This window comes from Homo sapiens, chromosome X (assembly GCF_000001405.40).
Source record: "Homo sapiens chromosome X, GRCh38.p14 Primary Assembly".
Lineage (NCBI taxonomy): Eukaryota > Metazoa > Chordata > Mammalia > Primates > Hominidae > Homo > Homo sapiens.
Genome location: NC_000023.11, coordinates 109,368,384 through 109,395,828, shown reverse-complemented (window position 1 = coordinate 109,395,828; position 27,445 = coordinate 109,368,384). Strand labels below are relative to the sequence as shown.

At 41.0% G+C, this 27,445-nt stretch overlaps 1 protein-coding gene across 1 annotated transcript in view, besides 1 other annotated feature; it reads left to right on the top strand.

Moving 5' to 3' along the window:
* The window catches only part of GUCY2F (guanylate cyclase 2F, retinal), a 109,181-nt gene extending 86,258 nt beyond the window's left edge, over window positions 1-22,923 (top strand). Inside the window, exons 12-20 of the mRNA NM_001522.3 lie at window positions 340-488; window positions 2,774-2,937; window positions 3,726-3,918; window positions 7,166-7,340; window positions 10,547-10,645; window positions 13,617-13,711; window positions 19,662-19,750; window positions 19,843-19,931; window positions 22,830-22,923. Of these exons, the coding sequence (NP_001513.2) occupies window positions 340-488; window positions 2,774-2,937; window positions 3,726-3,918; window positions 7,166-7,340; window positions 10,547-10,645; window positions 13,617-13,711; window positions 19,662-19,750; window positions 19,843-19,930 (1,052 nt within the window). The 3' untranslated portion in view covers window position 19,931; window positions 22,830-22,923. The remainder of the gene's footprint in view (window positions 1-339; window positions 489-2,773; window positions 2,938-3,725; window positions 3,919-7,165; window positions 7,341-10,546; window positions 10,646-13,616; window positions 13,712-19,661; window positions 19,751-19,842; window positions 19,932-22,829) is intronic.
* Window positions 20,686-21,391: an enhancer, noted in NCBI's record as "OCT4-NANOG-H3K27ac hESC enhancer chrX:108617667-108618372 (GRCh37/hg19 assembly coordinates)". NCBI's record gives its function as "activates a minimal SCP1, AML or CMV promoter by ChIP-STARR-seq in naive H9 embryonic stem cells {active_cell/tissue: H9 hESC(naive)}" and the evidence as "EXISTENCE:reporter gene assay evidence [ECO:0000049][PMID:30033119]".

Genomic DNA, 27,445 nt, shown 5'->3' with positions numbered 1-27,445 from the left:
AGATGATTGGGGATGGGTGAGGGGAGCCAGGTCCCTGAAGTTAGAGCATTAGAATTGCCATCAGATAGGCAGTATCTAAAACCTAGCAGAAGCAGAATAAAGTGCCTAAATGATACCAAGAGTCCAACTGATTAATTTCTCACTCCTCCCCCATTGCCTAATGCAGCTTTTGCTCAAATATAGTCTATATTCAGGCCACCTAAGGAGAGAGCAAAGGAGATGGCCCTTCTGTGTTATCTCCTAACCTACCCCCTTCTTGGCTAAAAGTCAGTTATCTTTGCCAAATCTTGGTCATTTTTTCCATGATTTGTAAACGGTTCTCTTCTCGCATCTGGACAGAAATCATAAACAGACTTAAGAAGCCTCCTCCTGTGTACAGACCAGTAGTTCCTCCTGAGCATGCCCCTCCAGAATGTCTCCAGCTGATGAAGCAGTGCTGGGCTGAGGCTGCAGAACAACGACCAACTTTTGATGAAATATTTAACCAGGTAAGGACTCTGAATCTTATCATTGCCCAGGAGCCTTCCTGAAGTCAGCCTACACAAGGCTAACTCCTTGGGTCCTTGTCATATTGTGGAAGGAACCTCTTGCAAGGGGTAAGGGCACTCCTCTTGGAGGAACAGCCTGGGAGTGGCTACTTTGAGGCTCTTGGTGCTGGAGTGTCATCAGCACATCCTTCAAGAGCCCAAAGATTGGTTCTAGTGTTCTTCTGTGTCTGAACCTCTGTTCCAGACCATCCACAATCTGACCTGATCAACCTTTCAGAGATGGAATTGAACCATCAGGCATTTGTAAGGCAATGGCATTGAAACTATTAGATGATGGGTATCATGGAATAGATGGGGCTCCTCACAGAGCCATGTTTACTTTGGGGATACCAGAGAACTCTCATGAGTGTACCAATTAGGTAATTTCAGGTTGTTTTTGGAAGGTCAGGAAAAATATGGAGTGTTTGAAAGGGTGTTCAAGATGGAAGAAAGAGAAAGTGCAAATGTGGCGTGCAAAAGCAGGAGATTCCTTAAGTTTCCAGGCAATGGGGTACATGAAAAGTGATAACCTTCCTCCTTAAGATACTGAATTTCTAAAGGGGGTGATTCTCTCCCTAGAGGTGGGGATTGAAAGGGGAGTGAAGGAAAGGACAGAGTGAGCCCTGCTGTGGAAGCTAAGGCGCAATTCCAATGTTGGAGCATGCAGTTTAGGCTTTGTTGAAATTACAGGACACCAAAACTGAGGGTGCTCACCATGAGTGCTGTGTCAGCTCTGGCAGAGAGGCTTTTGTGCCTGGCTGGAGTACAGCAATGAGATGCTTTATGAGTGGCAGGTATCTGAGGCGGAAAGAAAGAAAGAGTTGGATTGAAAGCCTGAGGGGCCCTGCTTATGAAGTCATCCGTGTCCCCAGCTAACAATGCCTCCATTAGCCCGGCTGAGTTTCTTGAGGACACTCAAACAGGTGTTCAATAGTATGGAAGAGGCGAAGGACCATGAAGGTCAAATTTCTAAAACCTTACCATGAGGCAGGAGAAAGAGCATTTGCCCCTGTGTTGATGCTAGAGATGTTATTTCAGAAGGCAGCAGAGAAGCCAGTGATAGATAGGGGGAGTGTACATCATGAGACTTTCAAACAAGACATTGCTATAGCTGCCCTCACTGAAATGCTTCAGTGGAAGTTTAGGCTGTCTGATGACAAGGCTAGCCACCTAACTTCCTGCAGTTAATAAAACTTAAGTGGGAGGAGGAGGAGGAGAGGGAGGTTCCCTGGGTTAGGCAATAGGGGGAGCCCAAAGCATCTAAACTGGCTACGAGGTTATCCTCAGGACTTTGATGGACCTGCAGATGTGAACCAGGCTCAGAAGGGAAACTCCTAGTGTTGGCCTTGGGGCATTGGGTGCTAGGTGGAGCATGTGTGGCCCAGCTATATATAAGAGGTTCACTGGGACAGAGCCCTAGATGTCTGTTTAGCAAAACCACCTCCGATTTTTTGTTGTTGTGAACACAGTCATGTGCATGTTGACTATAGCAGTACAGAGGGGCTACCCCTCATGATTCTAATACTATGCCTAGCTCCCTGTTACTGTAGATAGACAAGGTCCCAAAAAGGCGTATTGAAAATTTGTGACATGCAGACATCTCTAAGGCATCAGGGCATAGAATGGGGGCAAAATCAGTTGAATTTTACATCACTCTGACTGACCAAAGGACAGGTGCTAGAGGACACCACTATTCTTGGACTCCACGGTAAGAAATAGGGGTTGATTTTATCACGTGGATCTTGAGCCCTCTGTAAGAGGTCAAGGAACCTCTCATTGTTCAAAAACTGGCAACATAGTGGCATTTGAGGATAAGAATGATTTAGTAAACTGATGATCCAGAAGAGTAAAATGGTACTTTGGGCCCTCTCTCCCCTTACCTCACACAAAATTGGCCTGGGCTCAAGACCAAATCCTGTTGTCTTAGAAGTGGCTACTATTCACGTGATAGCATCTCAGAACTGAAGGAGCCGGCTCAGAACACCTTTGCTCAGGCTTGAAAGAACCAGAAGGGTAGGGGAAGAACTGGTGGGGTCGGGGGTGGGGGAAGAGGTGCAGTGGTAGTGCCCTGTAAATGGGTCAGGGTGACAGTGAGGATGGGTGGTGACTTTTCCTATTTATATCTGGGTTCACCTTTCCTGCCCTGGCATTTTGGTGGAATGGATTTGTGATAAGGGGACCTGCTCCATCATCTCTGAGTTTGATGAGTAAGCATTTTCTGGTTCCCTTTTCTATTTTACTTCCAGTTTAAAACTTTTAATAAAGGGAAGAAGACCAATATTATTGATTCTATGCTTCGGATGTTGGAGCAATATTCTAGCAACTTGGAAGATTTGATTCGGGAGCGGACTGAAGAGCTGGAAATTGAAAAACAGAAAACGGAAAAGCTTCTAACACAGATGCTACCACCGTATGTGAGAACACCTGAGGAGTGTGAATCCTTATAACAGTGTGTTCTGTTAAAAAAAAAAAAGAGAAAGAAAAAAATTACCCATCAACTAACTGCTGCCTCCCCTTGTCCTGCACCTTCTCTTCTCCTAGTGGGCTTTAGTCACACCTTTAAATCAAAGTAAAATTGGAAACCAAGGGAGCAGAGCACACATCCTAATTTTCCACTACCTGTAGATCATGCTGGTCATTTAAGTTTTTGTGCTTGTTTTTTCTGTGTGTCACTTCGTGACTTTGCTAGGAGGTTGACCGATTAAAAGAAAGCAGTTCTTTGAGCTCCTAGAGGAAAGTAGCAAGGTCGTTTTTCCAGGTCTTTCCTCTCTTAGCTGAAAACCTTATCTGTTGCTACAGTTTCCAAGTTTTCCAGGGCACCTTACTTATTATGTTGTAACATGATCTTCTAGGAGATAATTAAGGAAACTAGCCTCATGAAAGGGCAATCACCTGGGAGCATTCCCCAGGGGTCTGAGTTAGAAGTATAGAGAGATGAAAACCCTCCACATGAAGGCACAGACCAGGTCTGTCCAGTGCTGTATTCCAGCACCTGGCACAGTTCCTGACCGATTGTAAGCACTTAACACTTATTTGTAGAATAAATGAACGAATTAATGTTTTCATCCATGTAACACTTTCTTCCTCATCATTTATTAGCAGTGATTTTTAGAGGTTTATTTGGTGTATTTTTAGCAGGTGTATGTGGCATGAAGGGGGACCAGTGTCATCTTAGGAATAGCTGTGTCTGCTTTTCAGATCAGTTGCTGAATCTCTCAAAAAGGGCTGCACAGTTGAACCTGAGGGCTTTGACTTGGTCACCTTGTACTTCAGCGACATTGTGGGCTTCACAACCATTTCAGCCATGAGTGAGCCCATTGAGGTCGTGGATCTTCTGAATGACCTGTACACACTCTTTGATGCAATAATTGGCAGTCATGATGTCTACAAGGTAGGTTAATTAGCAGGAAAATATATTCCATAGTGAAATTTTTATATGAGGCCCATCCATATGTATTCTAAAATTGAAGAATAAAATTTATGGAATATTGTTATTTAGGAATAACAAATTAAATAGTACACCCCTTCCATTGGTATATCACTGGAAATGAGAGCCGGGTAGAATGCATGTAATTTCCCAATTTACAAAATAGCAACTTTCAACCCAGCAAAAGATTGCCAGTCAGATTTCTTTTGAACTTTTTTTCTAGAATTGGGACTAAGAAGATGTTGGGACCAAGAGAGTTATTGCACATCAGTGGCTGAGTACTAATAGTGTAGGCAGTACTGTACTAGGCACTGAAGGGGATAAAGAGGAAGTATTGGTGTTTTGCCCATAGGTGGTGACTGCTACAGAGTTCATCTTGGTAAGGTTTGTGTAGATCTAATACATGCTATAAAAATTTGGTCTCCTCCTTCAGGTACTGTTTTATATGGAGAGAACTTGACATTATAGCAGGGAAATATTAGACTCGAGGCTCTTTGGGATTGCTACAGGGTAACCGAAAAGCTGCCTATTGGTCTGAGGTCTGGGGAAGTGATTAATTGTGGGGTGGCAAGCCCCTGTTCCCACCTTCTCTCACTCCTCCAGCCTTTGAATTTTCACTCTTTCTATTAGAGTTTGCAAAATGACTGCATTGACTAATTTTGATGCCATGCCTCCTTACCTTTTTTTACATATGTTGTCTTGTCTCTAGGCAAAAATGACGAAAAATCTCATAGCTGTGCAGGGACATTTCTACATTGTCTGCATCATGGATACTTGTCTTATTGATGGAGAAAGATGCCCCAGGCATCCTAAACTTTAGACAGCTTCTCTGTCCCAGGACCAAAGTAGAGCTGGAGAATGAGTAGCTCCATTCATTGGATTCTTCACAGTAGTCTGAAATGTTCTAGCTCTCAAATCACACACAAGAAAGTGTGTTTATCTCAGATTAGACAGGGCCTTTTCAGGTCAGATAGAGAGCCTCAGGGCTAGGCCAAGCCACCTAAATAGGGCTCAGAAATAAACATCATACCTGTCAATCAGCAGGAGCTGCAAGCTAATCAAGAAGCACACATGGAAACCACGATGCAGGAAAAATCCATGGAATCAGAGTACCTGTCTTAACTTGTTGAACTCAAGCAGCCTGAAGAGAAAAACAAATCACTGAAAGCTAATTCAGTTGAAACTAAAATCAAAGATGATTCAGCGTGGGCTGTAACACAGCTACTGGTTTAATCAATCCAGCTGATTCTGTTCAGACAATTGTTGGGGGTCTTAGCAATAGGCCATTAGATATTTTGGTACTTAATGGTTGCAGTAGGGAGTTAATGGGCTGTTCTCAGAACAGAGCAGGGCTATATAAATCCAAAAATGAAATTTATTTTTTTCAGCCCTATTTATTAAAAACAGCACAGTGCAAAGGAAATAAAAATTGAACCAGCAGCAAATGACCAAACTCATTTGTGTTTTTATTTTCTTTACCTGTAAAATTTGAATCACCTCCCCTGGTACTTGATAATCTGAAATGGAAGTGAGAAGGCTACTGTAGAATTATGAAGTTAGTGATTCAGTTTCAGTTTTCCTGCCACTATCTGCATCCCAATCGCACCCTTTTCTAAACCTCCTTTTCCCTCAGCACCCTTGTGTTGACTGACACAACCCACAATTTTCCACAGCAGTCTGTACACCAAGACCATGCATGCCCATACTCCCTGCTCTTCTAATCTCCTCATCCATATCCTTGGGGCCTCCTGGGTGACTGACTCATCAAAGCTAAAGGGTCAACAACTAATCTCTGATAATGGCCAGCCACTGACTTCCCCTTGCATGTAGCATTTACATTGTAATCCTTCCTTCCTGTGTGCAGGCTGGCATGCCTATCTGAGGGTAGGTATCCTTTCCTCAAATTGCACAAGGTAAGGGAGACCTTGGATGGAAACATGTTGAGGCAGAAAGTCCTATAGATTGAAAGGATTATTGTTATTGGCTATAGTAATTCATGATGAGGAGCCTATTGCTGATTGCTAAACTTCTTTCTCTGGAGCTGAATCATACCCACAGTTCCAGGGCTGGTTTCAAGATGTACCTATTTGATAATGATGATGATGATGATGATAATGTTGATGATGATGATGGTGATAGCTTGAACTAATTATATAGTATCATCCAATAGGCAGGTTTTAAATGCTTTGACATATATTAAATTATTTATTCCTTAGAAAACCCTACGAAGTTTTTACTATCATTATCACTATCTTACAGATAAGGATACTGAAGTACAGAGAGATTAAGTGATTTGCCCATGGCCACACAGTTTGTAAGTGTTGAATCTTAAATGCTAATCAAGATGGTATAACTTCAGAGTTTCATGTTCTTAACTGTTGTATTCTGTGAGTGCAGTTCTCTGGGAACACATGGGTTTTAACTGGATTCAAACTTGTAGTAACACAGTCTGACTGGCGCATTTCATAAAAAGTCCCTTCAGCTTAGTTATTTTTTGGATTTACCCAAAAAGTTTCAACTTACTGGTTATCTAAAAGTGAGCACACTTCTGTGGGGAAGGTGAGGAACATAGATTTGGCTTTATTTCCAAGTGTCCAGCCCTAACCGTCCCCTGCAAAGCAGTTGAGGGCCAGTACTGCTGCTCCTCAGGGAGGTAGCAGTAGGAGAGGAGGAGGTAACTGGTGGAAAGAGACTCAGTTCTCATACCCAATAGGCCTGCAAAACTAACTTCATCGTATTAGCAAGGCAAAGCAGAGGGAATGTTCTTCCTTTCCCCTTCCCTATATTTTCCTTAAGGCTACCCTAGCTTATTTACCCCAAATAATCTATAGAAACATTTGCTGGGAAGCATCATAGGCACTTTCTCCTAAGATGCTCCCCCATGGACACCCTAGGGACAGTCCCAGAAATCTCCCTTTTCTCTTCTCCCCAAATGTCTCAGAGCCTGGTATTTTTCTAAGGTCAATCAGGAGCCTGTGAGGTAGCTACACTTATTTCAGAATCTCTTGGTGTGGGGCCTAGACTTCAGTATTTTTAATAAAGCTCCTTAAGCAATTCTAACATGCAGCCAGACTTGTGGATCATTGACAGTCCCTCTCTGCCTTTCTCACTTTACAACAAGACCACCTGGCCTCCATTATACCCTTACAGCTCTGTGCTAAAAAGAAGCACAAATAAGTTGTTTGCTAATTCTATTTTTCCTAATTCCCAGGTAGAGACCATTGGAGATGCCTACATGGTGGCTTCAGGCCTCCCAAAGAGGAATGGCAGTAGGCATGCAGCTGAGATTGCAAACATGTCCTTAGATATCCTGAGCTCTGTGGGCACTTTCAAGATGCGGCACATGCCAGAAGTGCCGGTCCGAATTCGAATTGGCCTTCACTCAGGTAATAACCAGTTAAAGTAAGAGGAAACATTCTAATGCGCCTCTAGGAAGACTAAAAAAGAAAGGGAAAAAGATAGCTCTCCCCTGATTCCTGGCCACCGGATTATCCAGGTGTCCGGGCTGCATAATTCCTTTATGCCTACCCAAATTTACTCTCCTCCCAGTACCTGCACTAACACAGTGGGCAGCAGCTCCTTGTTCCAGGTACTAAACTCTTTTAATCTACCATTTTGGTTAGAGGCAATATTTCCATGTTTGACTATGCTACAAGATCAACAGGTATATGTTGTAGTTAGGATAATTCATTTAATTAATTAAAATCCCTACTTCTGAATTATTTTCCTCCCACATTCATTACCTACTAGCTCCTCTTGCTTCTGTATCCACTCCCCACCTTTTTCTCTCTGCTCTGCTCTTCTAGGCTCCTTTCCTTCCCCCATCCTTTTCACCCCTTTCCTACCAAACTTCTTTAAAAAAATGAATGACATCCACTGTGCCATTTCTTCACTGTCCACTCCCTCCTTAGCCCCTTTGCAATCTGACTTCAGTTCTCACCACTTTCCCCGGTCCTTGTCTGCCTTTACCTCTGCAGCATCTGGAATTCATGACAAGCCTCCCTAAAATGCTCCTCAATTGGCTTTTATGACATGCTCCTCACTCTGTGAATGCTGCTTTTCACTTTATTTACTGGTTCTCTTGACTCTTCCTGTTCTCTAACATTTTCTGCAAAGCTCTCAGTCTTGTGATCTTTTTGCTGTCTGCATGTCTCACCTCTAATTTATTACTCAACCCACAGCAACCTGACTTTCATTTCCTACCACTGTCTGATAATTCCTTTTGTCTCTAATTGTCCCTTATATTGGTCTTCTCCAGTGTTCTGTCAGGATCCACTGTTTTTCTCCTCCTACATACTCTCATGGGTGATCTCATTCATATCTGTGGTTTAACTACCACTTGTACGCTGATGACTTCCAACTCCACAGCTTTAGTGCAGTCTTCTCCCTTAAGCTTCAGCCTTCTATATCAAAATTCCTGCTGATATGCCCACCTGAATGTTCCACATGGACCTTAGACTCGACACATCTAAAACAATTATTTTTTTACCCATACAAACTTCCTGCTCTTCTTATATTTATTCTCTATTTCAGTTGGTGGTACCACCATTGACCTAGTTACTCCAGTTAGTCTTGAGAGTCATTCTCTTTGACTCCTCCCTTACTCTGACCTTTAACGTTCAACTAACTACTAAGTCTTGAACACTCTTTACCTTTTAAATATTTATTGATCTCTCTTGTCTCTTATTCACTCTCACAACCCAAGCCTGGGACACCAAGATCTCTTGCCTGGATCACTGCAATAGCATCTTCTTGCTTTCACTCTTGCCTCTTACCATCCATCCTTCTCATAGTCATCAGCATAATCTGTGTTTCCTTGTCTGTCCTTCCATTAGGCTTTAAGCTCCTTGGTGGCAGGAAGCATATCTTACTCATGTTTGTATCCAGAGTTCTTAGCACATAGCAGGCGTTTGATTTTTTCTTTTAGAGAAAAGCCCTCATCTGTCATTTGTGCTTCAGTTTCACATTTCCAACCCCCCTCAGCATACCTCTTCTTGTAGGGTTCACCATTATTTCAAATTTAACATATTTAAAACTTCAAGTCATCTTTTCCCACAAATCAGCATAAACTCACAAGCTCATGGCAATTTTCTCATGGTTGTCAATCAGACAGCCAATAAATCTGTTGATTCTTTTACGTCTCTCTTATTACTTCTTCATGGCCATCCACTTCTTATCATTGCCTCCTTTTAAGTACTTTGTGCTTGGATTACTGCAGCAGCCATCTGGAGGGTTTTCCTGGTTTTACATTTTCCCCTTTCAATGCATTTTATACACTGATCTGAGAAAAAAGATCATGCAATTCCTTGCTCAAAATTCTCTAGTGGTTCAAGATCCTCCATCTTGTACAACCCACTTAATCCAACCTTGTCTCCAGTTTCTCGTGAGCCATGTGAACTAGGCAGACTGTTCTCTCTAAGAGCTTCCCAAATTCCCTGTACAATCCCAACCACAAGCCTTTGATTTATGTCCCTTTTCCACTGTTCAAATCCTACTCACCCATCAAGACCTAGATCAAATCCTACCTTCTCCACTGGACCCTTCTTGATTGAGTCAGGTCCTAATAAGCACCTCCTCCCATTTTCTGAGTTATTATAGCACCTCTGTCTGTGCTTCTTGCCTCAGCCATATGTTGTCTTGGGTTACTGCTTAATTGCTTCCTCTTTGATAGTATCTTCTCTTCAATTAGACTATAAATTCCTGGAGAACTGAGACTATGTGTTACATTTCTTTTTTATTCCCCTTGGTGCCTAGCCGTAAAAACAGAGCAGAAGGCCAGGCATGGTGGCTCATGCCTGTAATCCCAGTACTTTGGGAGGCCGAGGTGGGGGGATCACTTGAGCTCAGGAGTTCGATACCAGCGTGGGAAATATGGTGAGACCCCCTATCTCTTTTTAGGAAAACAAAATCAGAGCAGAAACCAGAAAGTTGAAGGTGAAGAACTTTCTGGATACTCCCAAACTGACTTTTCAGTACGGCTGCTGAAGTTTTCTCAATTACCTTGAACACTTAACACAGCCATATTAAAATGTAAGAACAAAAAATGCTAAATGCAAAATATCCTTTGATTATATATACATACTGCTTTTCCATGCCCCAACACAGATAATTGAAAGTCAGCTCTATTTGTTTTCAGATTTTTGAAATGTTTTAGAATAATTCTCTTGATAGACACAGTTTGGGAACCAGATAAACCCATGAAAGCCTTTCTTCCAACCCTAAGGCACAAGAAAAAGTCACATTTTTTTCCTTACAACAAACATGTTTGGACCCTGAATCCCTGCCCAGGCCTTTCTGGTTTGGGTTTGATACTTGTTTGTCCCTGTTGACAAATATAAGCATCTCAGGTGTAACTGTTACGTGGAACAAAGGTATACATCAGAAGGGCAGTCATGTCTGCATTGTTATAAATTTGCTTTCTTGTAGGGCAAAGAGTTCACTACTCATTGTGTCTTTCTTCAGATTCACAGAGCTATATGATGGCAACTTTTATTCTTTTACAAAGATACATTCCTTCCTCTTTGCACTATTCCTCTATTAGCATTGGGTGCATACCTGTTGACTGTAATTCCAACCCCCTGATACTCTATAGGGCCGGTTGTTGCTGGAGTGGTGGGCCTCACCATGCCCAGATACTGCTTGTTTGGAGACACTGTGAACACAGCTTCTCGGATGGAATCTACAGGCTTACGTGAGTACCTAATAGAGAGATGGATAGGATGGCACCACTCTGCTATTGAGAAGGTGATTCTTCTTCAGAGAGGTGAAAGAGAGCAGGATACTTGATGTTTCAATGTTTTAAAGAAAAATAAAAGATAATTTGAGAAGATTAAGATTTATCACGGATTTTCCTGGTCTCTAATGGCAAACCAGTAGGGGGTGATGTTGGACTGAACATGTACCTTTCTTTCTCTAGAAATGAAGCTGTAGCTAAGTGACACCAAAACAGCCACTCAATTTGATAAAAACAGCTAAAATAGTATTTTGGGTAAAGAAAAAAATTGGCCGGGCTTGTGGGTTTGTGGGAGTCATGTTGAGAAAAGAACTACATAAGGGACTAATATTTTCCATTTTTCAACTAGTTTGTGGAGACGCACTGAAGCCAGCTGCCTCCCAGCTGGCTGCTGTTTGCTGTTGCAGTCCCCTTTTTGAACCAGTTAGGACCCCAGGAGTTCTGGCTTCATCAAATAGCCTCTACAATTTAGCTAGCAATAATCCCTCAATCCAAGTAGCTTGGAATTCTGAAATAATTTATTGCAACTTCCCTGTATATAAAACCCTTAGCTTCTATCAAAACAGACATACTATCAAAGATACCATTTCTTCTCTGCTTCTTTGAAAAGAAAACTGTACAAACCATATGCCATTTGTCTGTTGTTTGTAAGATGCTGGCTCAACTCTTACTCGGTTATTTACTACCACTACAGAATCACAATGTGCCTTTTGCTTATATCATGGTTGAGCAAAGCATTTTTTATGCTACTATAGGAAAAGCATAGAGAATAACATTAAATTCTATATGCAGTTTTCATTTTTCATGGATTTTGTACCAAAAAAGGGAAGAAACCACTTAAGCCCTTAGAAGGGCTTAACTCTGGCAAGACGAGTTCTTCCCAAGCTTCAGCACTGTACTCAAACTAGTCCCTGATGTTATGGTGGACTGTATCACAGTGGGTGGTGCCCTGTCTGACCCCACTTCCCATCACTCATGTGTAGAAACAGGCTTACACAATGGGTCCAGTCTTAGTCAATCTAGCCTGTGCTGCCATGATTAAGGAGGCAGTATGGAACTTAGAAGCTGTTGTCAGAATAAATTTTCTGACATCTGGGAAAGTCTTCAAACTCCTTAGATATGGCAGAGGCCATGGAAGTAGTCATCCAGGAACTGCTGCATTAATATAACTTTGCATATGACTTTACTCTTGAAGTGCAACCCAAGATGAAGTGAAATTTATCATGGAACTGCAATGCAGATTTGGCACAGTATTCTGGACTGATGTAAGCTTGTAGAAGGCTGAAGTCATATTCTGGTCTGAACCAGGGAAAACTCCACACATTTCACATTGGAAATACAAAGTTGAGACCAGAAATTGAATTTTGAGATGTAGACAGCACCTTGCCCAGTGATCAGCTAGAACGAAGAAAATGGAGTGAATCACCCACAGCAGGTGTTTATTAAGCACTGACTGTGCAAGGAAGTTATTGTGAAGCATACAAAGAAGTATACGCGTGTGCTCTCTGTGCTAAAGGAGCTGGTTAATGTGCTTTTCTAAAAGCTAATGACTATGACCCAAATATGACATTAAGCTCCACAACTGAATGGAGATCTGTAGAGAGGTAGCCTCTCCTCACATTGGATATGAAATCAGGACATGTCACATATCTATTAATAAAAAAATTATTTCATCAATATCTCCTTTGTGCTCAGTTGAAACCACTGAGATTCTGGAATGGAAGTGACTCGTGACCCAGTCCTGGAGTGATTCTCCCTACCATACAAGTGGATGGTGGTTGGTATGAGCTATCTCTCTTTTAAGCTGTGTGTTCCCTACCATCAAGATTACTCTACTGAAAGGCTCCCTGAAGACCAGATGCTTGTGGGATGCACACATAGGACTGGCTAGGAATATACTGGCTGGGCATGTGTATTTTAGGAATAGGTCAACCTTTTTTGAGTAAGGGCTTTGGATGATCATGAGTTAATGAGGAAGGCACAAACAAACAACAGTACTGAGCTATCAAGAGAAAGAAAGTCACTGTGAGTATACACAGCAGAAACTCCTTGCAGTTCTCTCCCGCCATGCCTTCCTACTCAGGTTGTAATCAGCTTTTTTTTTAAAAAAAATGATTTTCTCAAGCATGTGTGAAAACTAGCCTTGGACTTTTATTTAAGACTCAACCTCAACAAGGTCTCACTTCATAGGGTGACAGTTTTTAGAAATGTCAAGGATCTTACCTGAGTGAACAAGTGATTATTCTTAATCAAATAATTACCCTTAGGTTCTAAATAAAATTTTAACGTGGCAGTTCCCTATGTAAATCTCTTATCCCAGATTGAGATCATTGGTTAGAAAATAGTACATTCATGTGTAAACACAGCTAGGTGCCCCCACCCAAACGTCAGCTATAAATGTACAGTCTTCATAAAATATTTGTTGAAAGAGTTCTTGGGATATTTCTCATTGATGTTTTATTTTTAAGTGTAGCAATGTTGAGAGAGAGTTGTAAGAATGCATATGGAAAAGACATCATTTTGCCTAAGATATGTAAAGCATGAGAGTTCAGCCATAGTAGCAGCCTGTGAAAGAAGCTGCTGAAGTCAAGCTTTCTTCAAATGACGTCACGTTTCAGCTGAGAGCACAGTAGATGCTGGTTTCTCCATCTCAACCTTTGAGTTAAATTAACACCTTTCTATTGCATGGCCTTTCATTTAAGATAGTGTCTAGGAGGCTGATAGGTGCTACAACTAATGCCTTATTTCGGCCTGGTGAAGAAGGCCATCACTCCGTCTCCTCCTCTTGTGAAACCCTAAGTAAACCTCTCTCAGGACGTTGCTAATGGTCTAGTTCATTTACAAGTGAAGACATTTATTACATTGACATTTTCTCATTAATTTTGCCAGTGAGAAAGGAGCCCAAATCATGTCTCTCCTTCTTTTGCAGCTTATCGCATTCATGTCAGTCTCAGCACTGTTACAATTCTTCAAAATCTGAGTGAGGGCTATGAAGTGGAGCTTCGAGGAAGAACAGAGCTCAAGGTATAATGTCTTTTTGTTTTTTGAGCCAGACTACTTGGATACACCTGCTTCTGGAGAGGTCATGGTCTGCTGAAAGAGTTTACCTGGGAGTCTGAGACTCAGAGCTATAACTTGGGCAGAATCTTCAGCCCCATTTGGGGTTCCCAAAAGATTGCTCCATTTTGCCTCAATTTTCTTCTCTTTAAAATATGGCTACAGTGGGGAGGAGTATTGAGATTTTTTCTGCATTTTTCAGACTGTAAGTTGTATCTTTCTCTCTTAAAGAACTGCACAGAATTTGGCTTTCCAATGAGCTGCACTATTATTTACATTTTCTAACCTACATTTTTTCACTCTTTGGCAGTGCCAGACATTGTTCAATAAGCCATAGTAATTGTGAGTTTGGATTTTCTATTCACTTTCTCAGTGGCCACCCTTCCTGGGTGAAAGGCACCCATTGGCACACTATTTGCAGAGAGACTTTTTCTTTCCCTAAGAAACCAGGAGGAACAAAGTCAGTTTCTATGAAAGGCAAACATTTTGTAGCCCCTTTTTCCCTGTTAGAGTTATCACTAGACCTGAGATATAGGATTAGAATAATTTTAGTTTTCTTTTTTTGCCATTTCCACTGTGTTCTATTTATCTATTTCTGAATGACCAAAGACCACCGGTTGACCCAGTTGTAAAAGAGCTCAGTGATAAAATAATGTAACTCCCTCATTTTCAGATGAAAACCAAGGTCCAGAGAGGTGAAGTAGTTTGAGCAGGGTCACACAGTCAACTGATAGCAGAATCAGGTCAAGACTCAGGAAGCCTGACTTCCTTTTTAGTGACCTTTCCATGACACCATGCTGCATAAAGATGATTTTCTCAGTGACTATTTTTGGGCAAAGCAAGAGCAGGGCACTAAGTGATGCACAATTAGCTTCTGACTTTGGCATTCCTTTTCTAAACAGTGGCAAGTTACATGTAGCTAGATTTCAGATGTTAAAGTTTGGAAGGTCTAACTCTAGTTGACAACTTCCTCCTATGGCTAGTCCTAGTTTTTTCCTTCCAATAGGTCATTAGTATCTTCCAGGAGGTTGGATGAGTCACTTACAAGGGGACAGAGGCTCCTTTCCCACCTCTTGCAGAGAACTCAGACAGTAAAATGTTGGGGACAGGGATATTACTTGGGCAGCGAATCTAACTGTCCAAAGCTTTTGTGATCCTTCTATACATTCTGTCATATTTCAACAGAGGAGTAGAAATGCAGCTTGGTTTCCTGAAGACCTTTTCCTCTGCATTGCTGGGCAGAGGCCCCTCATTTAAAAGCTGAAGGGTTGCCACTTTTGAAACTGAAAAACGAAAATGCATCCCTGTCCCAATGGTTTTTATTGTCCCACAAATTCAATTCAGGAGCACTCACATCTTTGGGTGTTTCAAGTACAAAATCAGGACTTAACTTCAAAAGGGCCCTTTGCAGCTTCATGGTTTCCCCAACCCCAGGGAATTTGGGAACATTTCACAGCAAGTTGGAAGAAGAGCCTTTCTCTGATGCCACATTGGGCCTGGATTATTGTTGTGGCAGGGTCCTTATGAGGAGGAGACATTAAGAGGGAAGAGAAGAGGGCGCCTCAGAGGAAAGGAAGGGGCAAGGGAACAAGGAAGAGGAGAGGAAGTAAGGCCCAAGGAAAGGTCAGGAGAGGAGGAGAGATCCTTTCTGTGTCTGTACCCTCTACCTCCCCACCAGAAACAGGTGTTGTACTTTGCATCATAAGGGCTGGGGCACATGGGGTTTCTGGTCCACCAGGGACATGCAATATACCCCCAATAAGACCATGTCGCCAGCACACTTCAGAAATTCTGATTCAATATTTTCACTCCTCATCCACTCTGTGCTACTGGAAGCAAGAGTTGCTCTAGTACATGGGGCAGAAATATCACATTTGATGGTGAGCCCGGTGTGATTTCAAAGTTGATGGCTAGAAATGTCTTTTCCTTCCAGCTGACTGATGTTTGAAATTCCTCCATTAAAGCCTTTTCTCTTGGGCTCAAGGTTTATATCCAGTAAGAACCTTCTTCCCTCCACGCCATCTCCTCCACTAGGTTGATGACACTTTACGTTATTTCCCTTAGTGGAATCAAAAACATGGATTAATTGGGTGAGAGAGGAGAACATAGGGCAGTTGAGTAATTGGCTGGGTTGAGGTTACAAAGAAAGAGACCAAAGTGAGGAAGCTGAAGTAGCTTGGGGGAGGACTCATTTAGAGATGAGAAGCTCAGCCTCTTGGGCCCACTGCCCATTGCCCACTTCAAGCCCCTCTTGTACTATACAGGCAACAAATTATCAATGCCTAACTGGCCAGTTCTACTTTTTCAATATTTCTCGCCTTGTGGGCTAGTGATAAATCACTGTATTACCTTTTCTCGTACATGAGTCCTGTTTCAGTCACTATTTTTCTGACAAGTGTGGGGCTCCTTGCTGAGATTTTTGTATATATCTAGGCTTATCAGCTGTATTTACCAGAAACTTTTAGGTAGATTTACATTCTGGGGAGACTTTCTCAAATGACTGCTCTTCAGCCAGTTTATGTTGTTGCCAGAGGTGGACACTTTAAAAATATTTTGTAATTTTTTATTGTAAACTGACAATTAATAATTGTGTACTTTATGGGGTACAAAGTGATGTTATGATTTATTAATACAATGTGGAATAATTCAATCAAACTAGTTAACATAGCCATCACCTCAAATACTTAACATTTTTTTTTTGTGGTGAGAACATTTGAAATGCATTCGTTTAGTGATTTTGAAATGTACAGCATTATTAACTATATTCACCATGATATGCAATAGAGCTGAAAAAATCACACATATTCTTCCTCACTGAACAGATTTTGTGTTCTTACACCATCATCTGTTCATTTCACCCACCTTTGGCTTCTGTAACCACCATTCTACTCTCTGCTTCTATTAATTCAATTGTTTTAGATTCCAAATATAAGTGAAAACATGCAGTATTTGCCTTTCTGTGCCTGGCTTATTTCACTTAGCAAATATTCTTCAATTCCATTCATGTTGTCACAAGTGATAGAATTTCTTTCTTTTTAAAGGATGAATAGTATTCCATTGTATGTATACACTAAATTTTTTTTATCCATTCATCTGTTGATAAACAGGTTAATTCCATAACTTGGCTAATGTGCCTAGTGCTGCAATGAACATGGGAGTGCAGATATCTTTTTGACAGACTGATTCCAATATTTTGAGTAAATACCCAGAAGTGGAATTGCTAGATCATATGGTAATTCTACTTTAACTTTTTGGAGGAATCTTCATGCTGTTTTCCATAATGGCTGTACTAATTTACATTCTAGAAGTGGGCACTTTCTGAACTTGTCTTTGAATTCTGGGGTTAAACAGTATTTGGTTCTCAGGTTCCTAAGTATTAGTATTTGTTTTATTTTCCCCAGTCTTTCCCACTCATATCCCAACCCCAGCATACACACACAAGCAGTGTGTGTATGAGCATGTCTATGAGCACACACATGCACACAGACAGGCAATTAAGAAATAGTGAGATTGTACTGACAGATCCATGAAGGTCAGAAAGTTTTGCCTCAAATTCTTGCCCCATCACTGACTTAATGTCTGACATCAGACAAGTAATTTCACCCTCTCTCTGTGCTTTCGTTTGTCCACATAGAGGCCTCATCTGACTTGTGGTTATCAGGAAGCTCATTAATCTCACAAGCTTCAAATTTCCCAATAGTTGCTTTTTGGCCTCTAGATCTGCCTTTTGACTCCAGTGTGTTGGAGAAGCTTTGTGGTATGGAAGGAAGAGCATTTAAAATTTGGTGTCTAGTAGAGCTGGTTTCAAGTCCCAGCTGTGCCTATTTATTGACAAGTCATTTAATCTCCAGGAATCTCAGTGTCCCCATTCGCAGAATGAGATTAATAATTAACCTACATTCCAGATTTTTGTGAGGATTAAATAAGATAGGAGATACCAAAATGTCTCATAAGCATCATGCCAAAGTAAGATGCTCTTATATGGGGGATCTCTAGGACTGCTTGGGGATTGATATTGGGTCAAAGAGTTTGGTTCAGGCTTTAGTTGTTGCCATACTTGTTTTCTCTCTTTTTCTCCCTTTAGCAAAATTGTGGAAGTCAGGTAGGTAAACAGAGAACTGGGATTCTAAGAATTCTTTTGGATGGACTCCAAAACCTCAGAGAGCCCCTGGAGCTCCCCTGCATACTCTTTGATTTGGAAGCTTGCCTGAGTCCATAACACTTCTATCCTCTTTTGCAACCATTAGTTTTGGCATCCCAGTGTGTCCTAAGACCCACCCAAATCTTTGGACAATCCCTCTACAAAGCTCCCTTGGGGATTGGCATGCTGTTCTGTTAGCCTCTAGATCTCAAGACAAACAGTCAAATATGGCTGAGGGTGGGGGGCCCTTGAGTTTGAACTTTAATAGCATGTTTTTCCAAAATAAGATCCAGTGGTGTCTTGAGTATTCCAAGTGCACAAGGGCTGAGAGTTTCAATTAATGAAACAGTCTGATTATTTACTGGGCAACTGTCTGTATAAGACACTACACTAGGTACTGTGTAAAAAGAAAAAGCTTTGGAATCAGAGGAGTTGGGCTTCATGTGTTTAGAACCTATAACATGGCCTAATGGTTGTGTTTAACTGTACTGTGAGTTCCTTAAGGATGGAACCATCTCTGTATTCCCAGCCCTAGTACAGGAGGAGTGGAATAAATGAAAGAATGAGTGATGGAATATATTTTCAAGTTGCTTACCTCTTCTGAAAACAGAGTGGGCTCAAATAGTCCAATTATTTGAACTATTTGAGGCTTAGGGAGAGTCTGATGCCAGTTAATGGAGGTTGGACTATAGTGGTATGCTCTTTCTACTTGCCTCATAGAAGGCTTGTTCAAGCCTTGAATCAAATATTTGCAAAATGCTTTGAGATTCTCCAATTAAATGTGCTAATTATTATGGTTTTTGTCATTATTGTTAAGGGATAAATATATGTGATATAAAATAGGGAACAGTGGACTTGATATTTAAAGGGGTAAATCTAATTGGAATTTCTAAGTTAAACAATTCAGAACTGCTCCAAATGAGAGCTGCTGTGAGTGAGACCATATTTCAGATTAATGAGTTGGAAACACATCCCATTACTTTTCTCAGTCTTGGTAAACACATTTTTTTCTTATGGATTAGAGGAAATGAGAGAACAGATGAAAGAGAATTGAAAGGAGGAGAGAGAAGCACATTGAGAGGAAAGTTTACTGGAAAGAGAGAAAGGCAGAACAGAGGCAGAAAATTTGACTCCTCTGAGGTCATCACTCAGGCCCTGGGGTGACTAGCTTGAGTTTACACTCCTTTTCTCTTCTGAGACTTGTGGTTCTTGACAACCAAGTAACTGACCTATAGATGGAGGCCAACCTGGAGTCTTACCCTACCTGTAAGAGTCCCTTGGCTGGAAGAAAAGAACACTGCACAAATGTAGACCTCTCAAAATAGCCAGGATAATTTAGGCTTAAAATTTAACAGCCTGTTTTCCATTTCTACTCTCTTTTTGGGTTTGGTGAGAGCCATTGAATGAGACGGTAAGCGGGTAGGTAGAATCTGAATATATGTACTCTAGATACAGAAGACAATGGCTTACCTAATGCCAAAAGATCAGGGCACAAATGATAAGCAAAATCTTCAACTGAGCATCCAGACATTTGGTTGCTGTCAAGCCAAACATCCACACATTCCCAATGATGAAGCTGTATGGTGGCGGTAGACAAAACATCTGGATGACAGCTTGATATAGTGTTCACTTTTCATCTGGCTGCTCTGGCTCAGCCCCGTAGGGAGGAAGACTCCAGGGAGTGGTGAGGCAATTTCTGAGCCAACCTGAATGCTTATATTCTTTTGGAAAATTGATTATAGCAGGCTTAAGATTTTTTATGTTTTCTATAATAAGGGCAAAGGCACAGAGGAAACCTTCTGGCTGATTGGGAAAAAAGGCTTCATGAAGCCCCTTCCTGTGCCCCCACCAGTGGACAAAGATGGGTAAGTGGAGTTCACATTTAATTGGAGTCTTCCTATGCCATACTCTGCCACACTTTCTTCACTACCTATTTGATGTCTCCCCTGCCCTGCAGGCAAGTGGGCCATGGCCTGCAACCAGTGGAGATTGCAGCCTTCCAAAGAAGAAAAGCAGAAAGGCAGTTGGTGAGAAACAAGCCATAAGGTAATGGCCAGGAGGAAAACAGAGCACAGCAGCTTGCCAAATTTTCAAATCTGGGGCTTCCTTTGGCATGCGTGCCAGTGTCAGCCTATACTCTGTTGGCATAGTGTGATGGAGCTGGAGAATTTCCAAGCTCTAATAAAATGGGTGAAAACCTTGTTGTGGGGAGGCCTGCTGCAGGGTGAGCTGCACCTGTGGGAAATTGTCTGCCCTGGCCCGAGAGAGACCCTTACCTCTTGCCCTGACAACATATTTGAATGCTAACAAAGCTGGCCTTGCTATCCAATTATCAGGCAGGTACACCTGTCTCTTTTATTGTTGAGCACCTGGGCCACATGGTGAGCCACATCAGATCTTTAGAGACTTACATCTGTCTAGGCAATAGCAGTAGGACTACCGGCTATTCCTGGGATCTGTTGACAAGACCACCTTGGAGGGGATGTTTATGTCATTTCCTCCGGAGGCACTGCCTGATCCCTTTCAAAGGATCAATTTTGCCAACCAAAATAAGACTGGCTACTCTTTGACTGCCTGGCTTGTATTCAGGACAATTTCTCCCATCCTTCCTCCCCTACTAGGATGGTACAATTCTGAAGCAGCAACAACCATCTAATTATCAAGAATTCTCTCCACATATTTATCGGTATTTATCTCTGAGGAATCCATTGTGTTCTTGGGCTCTTTTCAGTATCTCTTCTCTTCTTTATCGTGTTTGCTTTTTTTTTTTTTAAATCTTGCTTTCTTATTCTCTCTTCCATGGAAACTTTGGCCCTGAAACACTTTGCTCCCTCCACATATCCTTGGAAATCACAAGATTCTAAGGTAAACATTAAGGCATCTCCACATACTCCTGCTCCCTTGTTCTCTAACATGTCCCAAAATAATCACAATTCTAGCAGCCACTACTAAAGGCATCCACATACTTTCATATTCTCCCACTGGCCTCTGATGACTTTGTTGATTCTTTGTGACTGTTTCTGTCCTAAGGAAACCCCAATGCATCTTCATTTCTACAACAATAACAGGTACTCTGAACTAGTCGTAAACATTTATGCATCACAAAGGCTTCTGTATTGAGTGTGTGGCTCTTCTGCAGCCTCCTGAATCACCCTCTGACTCACTGACACCTGGGGCCAGGATTTGTTCTACAGTCTTCCAATTTCCAGAAACATTCTTTCCTGTGATTAGGGAAACACAGGAACAACCTCTGACACAGACAGACACACACACAGATCCAGACACATACTCTCTAGCCTCTCTCTCTCTCTCTCTCTCTCTGTAGGAAAGTGTTTGGAAGTTCTTGAAGGATTTATCCCTTTGGAAGGGTAGTGTGGCATTGGAGGCACTGTACAAGAATCCATCCATTCCTAAGAATGTGTTGGAGTTTGCAGCAGAAAATACTGCAACTCACTTACCATCATTGGCTGTGTGATTGGTAGTGCTTTCCTGACATGCAGATGCATGTTGCTTAGGTCATTTGTAAATTCACTCATCTGGAACCCCTTGACAGAGGGCCAGCTTCTGTGTACTGTAGATATATGGAACAGATTGAAGCCACTGGGTCAAGAGAGGAAATCCATCCCTGGTCCTGGCCTCATTAACACATGTACTTCAATCAGCATGTTAACTGACCACATGGCCTTGGTGGCCTATACAAATCACAAAAATCCCCAAGAAGTACATCCCTGACAAATTTCAGAAGGCTTGTCCTAAGTCCAAGCACTCCTCTGTTGCTGTTACTTGCTAACACCACCTATTCCAGAATGTTTCCAACTTTCTGTGAATTTACAGGCTGACACTTACTGGGATAGACCCAACTTACAAAAGACCTATGATACCTATGAATGCCACTGACTTGCTGCCACCATCATAAGAGATGTTGAGGAAAAACTTGAAACCTTTAAGAGAGCCCTGTGGGGTTGGCCAGGGAGGAAGAAAAACTGCTATGAAAGGGGGCACAGCTTTGGTGAAGTGATTACAGGGGCTGCCTCTGAAGCAGGGCCCTACACGTCACCTGATAACTCTTATCTTGTGTCCCCAAATATCCACTACTTCTCAAACCTGGTTTTTGTATCATCTGGTTACTTTCCATAAAATTTCACCTACTGAGGTTAATTTTGGGCTGACAAGCCCCCTCTTTTAATCATAGATGTGCTTTTTTGAGGGTGAGAAACAATTAATCACCCATATCATAATGAAGGTGAACTGAGCTAACTGTTCAGGAGGACTTGGCAGTTTCGTTTTGATTAGGACAAGGAGAAATGGGGAAGTTGGCAGTTTTGAAGAATAGAGGGTCACACTGGCAGGCTTGGGATAACACAAAAGCAGTGGATCCCTGGGAAATAGAAGAAGGGTGAAAATAAGTATGAAGGTGGAAAAGTTAGCTTAGATTCCACCTCTTTTAAACCTTTTGAGTCTTTATTGGACTCAACGAATGGAGAGAAAGCACATTTTCCTTCTGCTATCAGGACCCAGGACTCCCACCAGAGCTTTAATATAACTCTGCTCCATGTGGGTTAAATCAGCCTTTGTGGACTGGCTAGAAACCTGACCACCACACATATAGCACTGTTACTATGGAGGAAGCCACTCCAAGTTCCAAATCATTGATTTATAAATGTGTAGAACATACCTCATTAGTAAGTTGAAGACCACCTGTATATTAACATGCTCTCTTTTTTGTTAAATTTGTAAAACCCTTGTAAATGGCAATGTCTAATTTTGCAAACCTGACACATGTAATAATGTTTATTTGTTTAACAATCCAGGAAAGTTGAGCAATTTGCAAGCTGTTTATGGAATATAGTAGTGGTGTGGGGCTTGGAATCATTCATATTGAAATCCTGTGAAAGGCCTAGGATATATAAGGTATGGTTACTGTTTTCTCTTTCTCTCGCCCAGGGGCAAAGGGCTCCAGGATTTGAATCTTCTCTTGGTGAGGCAATGGGAAAGCTCACTTCAGTTCAAGAAATTGTTCTGCCTGGGCAAGAAATTAGTGAATGACTACACCTCTGAGGATGACCTAATTCCAGTGTGAGCAGGACCTTGGGAAGTAATTTTTAAAAGTTTTGCTCAATACCCAGCTATCACTAGCAAGGCCGTATGAATGTAAACTGCAATAGATGTGAACCTTATGGAAGAGTAGAGAGCCACCTCCAAGTTTAGTCATTCCAAAGTAGCAGGCCCAACTTGGATTAAGATGAGAAGCTCTCTATTTTCACAGAAAAAAAGTAGGAGGCAGTATGTTTTCTTTTTCATTTCGTTTTAATCTCTAGAAAGTATTTAATGAACATAATTTATAACTCAGATACTATAAGATTAGTTCCAGGAAAAAAAAAGCCTTCCAGCAAACATACATCTGAATCCCAGTCTATTGTGACCTCAATTGGCTGGAATGCATAAGGAAGAAAGAGGGAGAAGAGTCTGGTTAATTGTGTTGTTTGGATAACTGAAGGCTAAGAAGTTTCTTTGTTTTCTTATTGCTCATTTTTCAAAATCTTTCCAAAACTGTCACTGTCTCTTTTCCTAAGTTAGGCAACATAATTGGATTGTCCTTGCTAGATGAGTATTTAACTGGGACTCAGGGTAGTATTCTAAACATGACAGAATAAATGTAAGATATATTGTCAGGGTAAAAGATATAAAAATCATAGATTGAACTGAGCGATTCCCTTAAAGTTTTGTATTTTCCCTCCCTTTTCCTGCCCACCCTGCCTTTCAACCCTCTACCCCTTCTCCTAAAATAAATCCCTTTGAACATTTGTTTTTACTTTATGCTTTTAGTTTTCCAGATTCCACTTTCAAGGGGTTATTGGCAGTGGCTTGCCACAGTCACGTGGACCAAAGCAATAAGGCTTAAGTCTCAGGCATGTTTAAAATAGTTAAGCAAGCTTTTCCTCTCGTTTATTATATTTAAAAAAATCTCTTTATTAAAACAGCTGAACCCAAACATATCAGCTAGTAAAGCAGTTAATTCTTTTTAGTACAACCCCTTTTAAAGAAATAAATGCCTAAGGTATAATTTGATACCTTTCTCACTATTATTTAATTTTTCCACTATCAACTCACCCTGAATCTGAGCTTAGAGTGAAAAGTTCTTCCCAGCAGTTTTCCTTCAACCTTCAGTCAAAGGCCCTTGGACTACTTATCTCTTAACAGAATCCAACTTCTGCCAGCCTCAGGTGGTCTACTTGCTATGCCAAAGCTGTTTAAGAGGATGCAGAAAAGGCTTAAGTTGCCTTTCAACTTCCTTGAGCAGAGTTTCTAACTCCTTTTTCCAGACATGCCAGAGAAGGACACATAAAATATCATCCTCTATTTTTAACAAGGTCTCAGTCAAAAGCTGAGCTTTTAAGACCTAACTAGAAGTTTGGGTGACAAATGTGATAATGTTTATTTGTTTAACAATCCAGGAAAGTTGAGGAATTTGCAAGCTGTTTATGGAATATAGTAGTGGCGCGGGGGCTTGGAATTATTCGTATTGAAATCCTGTGAAAGGCCTAGGATATGTAAGGCATGCTTACTGTTTTCTCTTTCTCTCGCTCTAGGGCAAAGGGCTCCAAGATTTGAATCTTTTCTTGGTGAGGCAATAAAAAAGCTTCACTTCTTCCAGAGATGGTAGCACTGTCCTGCAGAATACATATGGAAGGATAATTGAGGGCAAGGGAGTGGGAGTGGGGCTGCAGCTCCAGAGCCTCCATGAATTTGTATTCTCCCAAACACAGTTCAGTTATTTAGCCCTAGGACCTATAGCTCCAGGGTGGGCCTGCAAAATGAACAGTGCTCAGCCAAAATCTTTTATTAAGCAACAAAACCCACTGAGAGTGATTCCTAACTCTGTATCTGATCCTATCCCCTATTTCCCTCCTTAGTATTTCTCTAGTCCAGCATGTCAACCAAGTTTATCTTGTCAAGCCTACTAATTCTGTCTTGTTTATGATCACATCATCCTTTGCTTGATTTTATCATGAGGCCCTTTGTAAAATGAGTCCATCCATTTTTAGATTCTTTTTCATTAAGGCCTTCTGCATTGACCAAAACTAAGTTTTCTTCAGTTTTTCTTAGTGCTTTAATTATTTGATCAGAAGAAAAACCATTCCCTACTCTCATATACTATTTGATTTATTTAGTGAGGTATAGCATGATTCTCACATACAACTGATTATTTCTCTATTTGTCTGTTGCTACTAGCACACTGGCTTGAGTTGGTCATTAAGAGGGAGTAAAAATTTCTCCCCAGTTGTTTTCCTAAGTACCCTTATATTCCTTGTATAAAATAAAATATTTAGAAAACAATTTAAATAAAGTTTTCAAACAAATTTAAATTTGTTTTATCACATCCCTCATATCTGCTTGTTTTCTTGTGATTTATCTTTTAAAAATAAATTATTGGAAAAACAAAGCCAAATTGAAAGAACTGCAAGTTAGGTTTTGCTTATTTGAGGTTTTACTGTACTTTACAACATAACTGAATAAAATGATCATCCCATGGGGAATTATATAAGTCCTTTTCTTTAGATTTTTTTTCCCTTACGGACCTCAATAGCAATATATGTTCATTGTAGAAAATTTAGAAAAACACAGAAAGGCACACAGGAAGTTAGGATTGTTCAAAATTCCTTTAGATCCTTTATTCTATCTTCCCTGTTTGGCTTCACTTCATAGATTATTGCATGTTATTATAGCATCTACCTAGCCAAAGAATACCTGAACTCAGCTGATTCTGAAATTAACCCAGTTTGCTTTTATTTTATTTTATTGTTGGCAATATTATTCATATTTTTGATGGTAGAAGTTGAATCTGTTTAGATTTTGGGCAGCTTTCAGTGATCCAGTCATTCTTTTTTTTTTTTTTTTTTTTTTTTTTGAGACAGAGTCTCGCTCTATCGCCCAGGCGATCCAGTCATTCTTCATTGCACTTGGGATAGCGAAGCAGGAAGAGATAGCAGATGGCTATCTACTTCATCAGAGGGCCATAACTTGGTTTACTACATAAAGCAACTCTAACAAGAAGTATTGTTGCAAGAACTCTCATTTTTCCTACCTTGTCTTAGACATAGTATAAACAACTTTATTACCAAACTACTCATTTAATTACATTCTTGTCCTTAATCCAACTGGAATCAACTTGCAAGGAGTAGGAGGTGGCAAACAGCCAAACAGTAATACTTCATGCACTGGGTGGTCACATCTATGTGATATCAAATAATTGAATGTAACTTAAACACTCAATTGAATCAAGTAAGCATTAATTAGCCAAAAGGCCACAGGGGATTGACCATTTTACTTTAACCTCTTCTCCAGCCAAAGCTGGTGTACCTAATCAATGCATTTCCCATCTGACTGGTTGATTATAGCCCATTAAAATAGTGGAGTCTGTGCAATAGAATTCTCTCTCACCCCTTCTGTGGTCCACGCCTTCTTCTCGGGTCAAGATAATTGACGAGTAGACCATAGACATAGACACAACTTACCTTTTATAAGACATTATATGTCTGTTATTTGTGTGTTGTTTGTGTTTCTCCTGGAATGCTTTGTAAAACCCCTGCAATCTTACTTATTTTCTAGTTTGGATTTGCTGTAGGCCAAGCAATAATGAATTGCTTTCAAAGAGAGAAGCAGAAGTGACCATTAATCTATATATTCACTTTGGCTCACTACAAATTAGAGTGGCTCCAGATGCCACTAAAGAGCTTTCAAAGGTGACTAATTCCAAGCAAATGAATATACACATAGAATCATAGAACTGGCAGGGCCTTTGGAAACTATCAACCCTGTTATAGTATGAAGGAAAATATGAAGATTCTGAGAGGAGAAGCTATCCTTTTAAAGTTACCGTCTAGTTAGTAAATAAGAACTTGCTTTACCAAGTCAAAAATAGATCTGAATTATCAAGGAAAACCTCTGACCCTTAGGAATACTTCTTAGAAATTCTGGGGGTAAGATCCCTAACTGTGTATGTACAAGCATGGGCTTGGCAGGAATACTCTGGTTTGGGGTGTTTTGAGCTAGGTGACTGCTGACATCACAATCCAGAAAGAAATAGAGTACAGAAGGAAGATAGCAGATTCCTTGATCACTAAATCGGCTTTACCATGCAGACAGGATCTAATCCATATATGCCCCTATCTAAGATGATCTGGCCCAAGTGGATGGAGAATAAACCTCTAATTCTGCCTGGCCCTATGGATTCATTTGTAGCTTTTAGCACAGGACCCAGGTCCTATAGAACTAAAGTCTCAGAAATACATGAGGAGATGCCTGACTTTGGAGAACACCAAGAATATTTTCAATGTGCCCAATATCCAAATGGTAGCTCCTATAGTGAGAGAAGTCAGGGGAGAACAAAATCTGCGAACTTTAAAGCAAGATAAGAACTGAATCTGATTACTACTTGTCGACACCAACTTTCTCCTCCAGAGACAGGAAATTTCCTGAGTTGTGAGTACAATTTTGTATCCACTGGGTATAGACTAGCCAAAGAAGAGCTTTACTTCAGGGGTGATCGAGCTCATCAT